Here is an 8,070-nt window from a genome sequence, read left to right as displayed (position 1 = left end):
AACTCCTAACATCAGGTGACCCCCCTGCCTCAGCCTCCCAAAGTACCGGACTTACAGGTGTGAGCCACCGTGCCTGGCCTGATTTTTATTTTTATTTCTCATCTTCTGCTAGCTTTGGGGCTGGTTTGTTCCTGCTTCTCTAATTCTTTCAGTTATGAAGTTAGGCTGTTAATGTGAGATCTTTCTAAGAGTTTGATGTGGGTATTTAGTGCTATGAATTTCCCTTTTAACACTGCCTTAGCTGTGTCCTAGAGATTCTAGTATGTTGTCATTTTTTTTGTCACAATTCATTTTTATTTACAGAAAATAAATACTTATTCCAGTCTCAAAGTTGCCATACTTGAAGTTGCTAATTTAAAAAATGAATTTTAAATAGTCACTTAATAATCCTGCTTTGACTAAGACAGTGAAATGTGGCTTAAAAAAAGTATTCAGCATCATTTGCTCATAGGTCTCTCAGAATTTGTTCTTAAAGTTTCTGGAACTTTTCTGTCTGTAAAGTACAGGAATTACCAAGCTACATGAGAAAGCTTCTCTGGGACAGGCAATGGGGAGTTAAGCAGTCATCATAAAGGAATCAATGTACGTTGCATATGGTGGCTTGGACAACAAAACCATCCGTTCCCCTCTATGGTAGCTCAAGAGAGACATGCTTCTAAGCACTGAGGTATGAGGAGTCTCAGACTGTTATTTGCTGTTAGAATCGGTCTTACTGGCAATAACGGTAAATCTCTGGCATAGATGCTACTGGTCCTTAATGTCCTGTGATTTTAGTAAATTCAGTAAATAGTTTGGATCTACTTAAATTTATTCAGAAATGAAACATGTTTAATTATGTTCACTGGCAGAGTAAGGGTATATTGATTTAGCATTCTTATCAAATATGTATAATATGTAGGTAAATCATAAGTCTTAAATCATACTAAGAATACTACATTATTTAAACCAATATCTATTTTAATGCTATGTTTATAATTAAAAACAGCTGGTGAAACTAAATCCCAAGGTATGACAAATAAGACTCAGCTCTGTCTTGCTTAAAGAACTTTTAAAAAGCATGTGCGCATAAAGCCATTCGAGGAGAAGGAAGGAGGCCCTTCTCATCATTCTTACCGCAGAATTCCTATTAGGGCTGGGCCAGAAATTAGCACTACTAAATACTTTAGAAAAGTCCAGAGTGTTAAACAGTCTTTTATGCAAAAGAATGTCTTTCTGCATCAGTGAATAGTAGTACTAATCAGAATTTCCTAGAAACATAAAAACAAAGGCAAGTCTGTACATTTGATCAGATGTCAAAGTAATGGGAGGTGGACTATTATGTCAACCTTAGCCAGAGCTCCTGCTGGCTTCTTCCTATATACTGTTCACCAATTTGAGTAAAGTGGACTTTGTGAGAGAACAGTGTTTGATGGCCAGGACCTCTTTTGGGCATTTCTTCTTAAGTGGAATACGCAATGGATAAGGGGGTAGGGGAGGTAATACAGTGAATCTACTCTTTCCAACTCAAAAGGACTTGATGAAGCCCAGGTATGCATTCAGGAAGCCCATGGGATCCTCTAGCTGTGGATCGTGGCTAATGTGGTCATCCAGAATTGACATCATGGACCGTGACAGCATTTTCCTGTACAGCTCGAAAAACTCTGGATAGGGATTTACAGGATCCAGTGGCTCATAGATAAAATCAATGGGGTTAGTTTCAGAGGCAAGAGCTCCCACTCGGTGTCTTCTAAACTTCTCTGATTGATGATGTACTGTAAGAGATTGACAATGACTAAGTTCCCATCATTGTTGCAGCTGTGGGATGGGACTGCCCACATGTACCATCCCACAGCTCACTCTCAGAGGGCCAAGTACATGGCCCAAAGACTGGGGTGAGACATCGAGAATACAAAGAAGTTCATCAGCCACGTGAGGATGGGTGACAGCACACCTCCATCTTTGAGTATCTTTTGGAGAAGGAGTGGACGGTGAGTCTCAGGAAAGATACCTCCATTTGACAGATGGATACTCTTTATGGTAAGCCTACCAGATTGATTCTGCTTGTACTGGTAGAGGAGCTCCTGAGCAACAATATCTCCATAGTCATGAGACAAAAGGTTGGTCCTGTGGTTCTGGAGCCCCAGATGCCACAAAAGCACTTCCATAATGCTGGCCTGCTCAAATATGGAATAGTGATGTGGTTGTGGATTGTCACTGAAGCCAAAGCCTAAGAAATCAAGCACAAGAACTTGATGAAACCTCAAGGTCAGACCTTCCCAAATCTTGTACCAATCATAGCTGGATGTTGGAAGGCTGTGTAAAAGCACAGCTATCTCCAGACTTCCAACCACACCCACAGAGTCTTGGTAGAATATATGCAGTCCCTCGTAAGTGAAAAATTTGCCTGAAGACTTCCAAGAGTGAAGGGCCAGGGAGACCTGAGGGAGTGGGATCTGCAGGTACGCAGCAAGTAGGCACATGGCCAACAGCTCCACTTGGACCCACCACACCCTCCATCCTGATTCAGGTAAGAACTGGGCTGCAGGACTCCATGTTTGGGGGAACCGGTTGTGCATGCTAGTATATTGTATTTTATATTGTATTTTTGTTCTCATTATTTTCAAAGAACTTCCTGATTTCTGCCTTAATTTCATTATTTACCCAAAAGTCACTCAGGACATATTGTATTGTTTAATTTCCATGTAATTATTTGGTTTTGAGCAATTTTCATAGTCTCAACTTTTATTTTTATTGTGCTGTGGTCCTAGAGTGTGTTTGATATGATTTTGGTTCTTTTTACACTTGTTGAGGATTGTTTTATGTCCAATTATGTGGTTAATTTTAGAGTACATGCCATGTGGTGATGAGGAGAATGTATACTGTGTTGTTTTTGGGTGAAGAGTTCTGTAAAGGTCACAGCCAACAGTACACTGAATAGGCAAAAACTAGCATCATTCTCCTTGAAAACCAGCACAAGACAAGGATGCCCTCTCTCATCACTTCTATTCAACATAGTATTGAAAGTCCTAGCCAGAGCAATCAGGCAAGAGAAAGAAATAAAGGGCATCCAAAAAGAAAGAGAGGAAGTCAAACTATCTCCGTTTGCAAATGACATGATTTTCTATCTAGAAAACCCCATAGTCTCAGCCCAAAAGCTGCTCCAGCTGAAAAACAACTTCAGCAAAGTTACAGGATGCAAAATCAATGTGCAAAAATCACTAGCATCCCTATACACCAACAACAGCCAAACTGAGAGCCAAATCAGAAACCAATCTCATTCACAATTGCCACACACCCACAAAAATACCTAGGGATACAGCTAACCAGGGAGGTAAAAAATCTCTACAATGAGAATTACAAAAGATTTCTCAAAGAAATCAGAGAAGTCACAAACAAATGGAAAAACATCCCATGCTCATGTATAGAAAGAATCAATATCATTAAAACAGCTATACTGTCCAAAGCCATTTACAGATTCAATGCTATTCCTATCAAACTACCAGTGACATTCTTCACAGAACTATAAAAATTATTTTAGAATTCATATGAAACCAAAAAAAGCCTGAATACCCAAGGCAATCCTAATCAAAAGGAACAAAGCTGGAGGCATCAAGCTACCCACCTTCAAACTATACTACAATAACCAAAAGAGCATGGAATTGGTACACAAACAGGCACATAGACCAATGGAACAGAATAGAGAGCCCAGAAACAAGGCCGCACACGTAGAATCATCCTGTCTTCAACAAAGCTGACAAAAACAAGCAATGGGGAAAAGACTCCGTGTTCAATAAATGGTGCTGGAATAACTGGCTAGCCATATGCAGAAGATTGAAGCTGGAGCCATTCCTTAAACCATATACAAAAATCAACTCAAGATGGATTAAAGGCTGGGTGCAGTGGCTCATGCCTGTAATCCCAGCACTGTGGGAGGCTGAGGAGCGTGGATCACTTATGGTCAGGAGTTCAAGACCAGTCTGGCCAACATGGTGAAACCCCGTCTACACTAAAAATACAAAAATTAGGTGGGCATGATAGCAGGTAGCTGTAATCCCAGCTACTCAGGAGGCTGAGGTATGAGAATTGTTTGAGCCTGGGAGGTGGAAGGTGTAGGGAGCTGAGATAGCGCCGCTGCACTCCAGGCCTGGGTGGCAGAGTGAAACTCTATCTCAAAAAAATTTTTTAAAAAAAGATGGATTAAAGATTTAAATGTAAAACTCCAAATTATAAAAACCCTGGAAGATAATCTAGGCAATACTATCCTGGACATAGAAACAAACAAAGATTTCATTTCAAATATAACAAAAGCAATTGCAACAAAAGCAAAAATTGAGAAGTAGGATCTGATTAAACTTAAGAGCTTCTATACTGCAAAAGGATATCAACAGAGTAAAGAGACAACATGCAGAATGGGAGAAAATATTTCTAATCTATGCATCTGACAAAGGTCTAATATCCAGCATCGATAAAAATAAATTTACAAGAGAAAAACAAACAACTCCATTAAAAAGTGGGCAAAGGACATGAACAGACACTTCTCAAAATAAGACATATATGTAGCCAACAAACATATGAAATAAAGCTCAATATCACTGATCATTAGAGAAATGCAAATCAAAACCACGATGTGATACCATCTCACTCCAGTTAGAATGGCTACTATTAAAAAGTCAAAAAATAACTGATGCTGGCAAGATTGTGGAGAAAAGGGAACATTTAAACACTGTTGGTAGGAGTGTAAATTAGTTCAATCACTGTGGAAAGCACTATAGTGATTCCTCAAAGGGCTAAAAGCAGAACTAGCATTCAACCAGCGATTCCATTACTGGGTATATACCCAGAGGAATATAAATCATTCTAAAATAAAGACACATGCCCAAGAATGTTCATTACAGCACTATTCACAATAGCAAAGAAATAGAATCAACCTAAATGCAACCAATGACAGATCCACTAAAGAAAATGTGGTACATATACACGATGGAATACTATGCAGCCATAAATAAGAATGAGGTGATGCCTTTTGCGGGAACATGGATAGAGCTGGAGGCTGTTATCCTTAGCAAACTAACACAGGAACAGAAAACCAAATACCACATGTTCTCACTTATAAGTGGGAGCTAAATGGGAAGAACTTACGAACACAAAGCACAAAACAACAGACACAAGGGTCTACTTGAGCAGGGAGAGTGGAAACAGGGAGAAGAGCAGAAAAAAGATAACTGTTGGGTACTAAGCTTAATACTTGGGTGATGAAATAATACGTACAACAAACCCTTGTGACATGTGTTTACCTATTTAACAAACCTTCACATATATCTCCAAACTCAAAAGTTAAAAAAAATAAGTAAAATAACATTTATATATACTGAATTATTAAAAAAAAAACTCAATGAATACATAAATGAATACACTTTTTAAAAAATCAACGAACAGGTCAAGTTTTGCAACACAATTTTGTGGCAAAATTGAGAGCTCCTTGTTTATACAAGTCACATCATTTCTTCATTTGTCAGATGGACAGCTAGCCTCTATGGCATCAGTACCCTTTGTTTTTATCTTAATATTTTCTCTAGTTCATGTTCTCAGTGTTTCAGTTTTTTTCTCCTTAAATCCAACAATGCAGATTTCCACATTCACCTAGAGTTTTCATCAAGAAGGTACTTCTTGTGAATAAAAATGGAAAAACATCTTTTATGTCTTTATGGACAACTTTAACAGTTCAACTTACTTATGTTTATTGTGACTGAGTGAAACAATAAACTGACAAACACCAGCTGAGAGTGAATCACTGAGACCAAGTCTCCAACTTTCAGAAATTCTCAATCCATCCCAACTTAATATTTCTCAGGGAAAATAATTTACTGGCATTGTCTAGTAATTTCATATGTTTAACTCCCAGGAGTGCAAAGGAAAATAATTAATGTCTGTCTCTGGAAATTAGAAGGAATGGGATAGCTAATATGCAGGAGTTTGCCAAGACCAAAAACATGTTCCACAAAACTTGGCAAAGGAATCAAAGTTGGCAAAGAAATCAAAACATTCTTACTATGCAGGTTGGGATCATGTTGAATTCATGTCAACAAATCATAGTTCTCTAAGGTCTAGCTCAGCAAATTTATGTTGTTTAAGAAAGAAAAGCAGTGTGCTACAGAGGTCCAGTTATATTAAATGCTTTAAGCTTCGTGCAGCACATGGTGAACATTTGTCCTGGTATTTCAAAGTTGAACAAGGTTTTTCAAGATTCTGATTCTAAAATATACATAAATCAAACAACCAGAGGAGGATACAATTCATTCTATTTTAAAATTTAACTCTTTTCTTGGAGGAAAAATAAAATCATTCAGTACAATTACTATAAGATGCTAGCCTTATTTATCATCAACATCATCATCAACAAATACTTGTTGACTATACGTTATGTGCTGGGCATTTTGCTAACCTCTGAAAACTCAGAAATATAATTTGTATTTATATTGCACCTGGTCTATACCTAAAAATGATAAAATATAGTTGAAAGAAAGGCAGCTAGTACTTGTCTATTAAGTCAGAGAGTCATGCAGTCATTCTGTCATCATTCATTCATTTTATAGTTCCTCCTATTTGCCAACCACTCTACACAGTGCTGGACACGTAGAAGTAAACAAAACAGATATGGTCTCAGCTTTCCTGGTGCTAGATATTCTACTATATATTGTGTAAATATTAACTCACTCGCTTTATTGAAGACTCAAGGTTATAACTATGAAGAAACCAGAAAACTGAGGCTTAAAGGAATGTTGCCTAAATAATGAATATATATAAATTCAGATGTATCCTATGTCTTTTATTTAGGGTTTCAAGTAATAATGAGAAAATAAAAGCAATGTGAGAAGAAAGGAAACTTATCTAACACTGTGGACCGGATAACATAGCAGCTATACATTTACTAAAGCAGCTAAAAAAGCTGAATATTCTCTTCCCCACCCAGCCACCCTAGCAGCTAGAAGTGACCAGATGACACACTCCTTTATTTATTTATTTATTTATTTTTTGAGATGGAGTCTCGCTCTGTCGCCCAGGCTGGAGTGCAGTGGCGCGATCTCGGCTCACTGCAAGCTCCGCCTCCCGGGTTCACGCCATTCTCCTGCTTCAGCCTCCCGAGTAGCTGGGACCACAGGTGCCCACCACCGCGCCTGGCTAATTTTTTTGTATTTTTAGTAGAGACGGGGTTTCACCATGTTAGCCAGGATGGTCTCGATGTCCTGACCTCATGATCCGCCCTCCTCAGCCTCCCAAAGTGCTGGGATTACAGGTGGGAGCCGCTGCACCCGGCTGACACACTCCTTCCTAATAACATACAGCAGAAGTCTGGAAAGGATCTCTGACAGTGTTCTGCGTTTACAATGAATAGAACAGGAGCAGTACATAAAGCTATTTTCCCTCCATCCTTCCCTGGACACAGATGAAGGCAGAGCAGTCCCTATGTTGTAAACAGAAAACTAAGATATTAAAGATAGAAAGCCCCTAGATGACATCATCAATCCCCTGCATCAGGCTTGTTCTACCTATCCTTCTACTTTTTTTACATGAAATTTTAAAAAAGAGGAAGAAAGAAAACTTATTTGAAATACATGTTTACTCCTCCATAATCTATTGTTGTGCAACTTATAGTCCCAAAACTTAATGATTTTAGTTGCCATTAATTAACACATGACCAGCAATTTGGGCTGAGTTCAGCTGGTGGTTCTTCTGCTTGTCTTGCCTTGGTTCGTTCATATGGCTTTCCTCAACTGGCAGTTCAACTGAGGCTTGATGGTACAAAATGACCCTACCTTTTTGTCTGGAGGTTAGTGCTAGATGTCATTTGGGATATGTGTCTTTGACATTTTAGCCTGGGCTTCTTCACGTGGTGCCAATGCTACAAGAGAGCTGGTCACAATACATCAGTCCTATTTGAGCCTTTGCTTGTGTCATATTTGTTAATGTCTTATTGACTAAAGCAAGTCATAAGGCCAAGTTTGGAGTAAACACAGGAGTGAGCTACACAAGCATGTGAAGACAGGGAGGTGTGACATATTGGGAACAATTACTCTAATAACCTACCACTTA

General features: G+C 38.7%; 1 pseudogene; it reads right to left on the bottom strand.

The window, feature by feature from the left end:
• On the bottom strand, positions 276 to 2,546 carry MESTP4 (mesoderm specific transcript pseudogene 4; annotated as a pseudogene).

The sequence above is a fragment of the Homo sapiens genome, chromosome 3 (genome assembly GCF_000001405.40).
Source record: "Homo sapiens chromosome 3, GRCh38.p14 Primary Assembly".
Classification (NCBI taxonomy): domain Eukaryota; kingdom Metazoa; phylum Chordata; class Mammalia; order Primates; family Hominidae; genus Homo; species Homo sapiens.
This window is presented reverse-complemented; position numbering and strand designations above follow the sequence as displayed.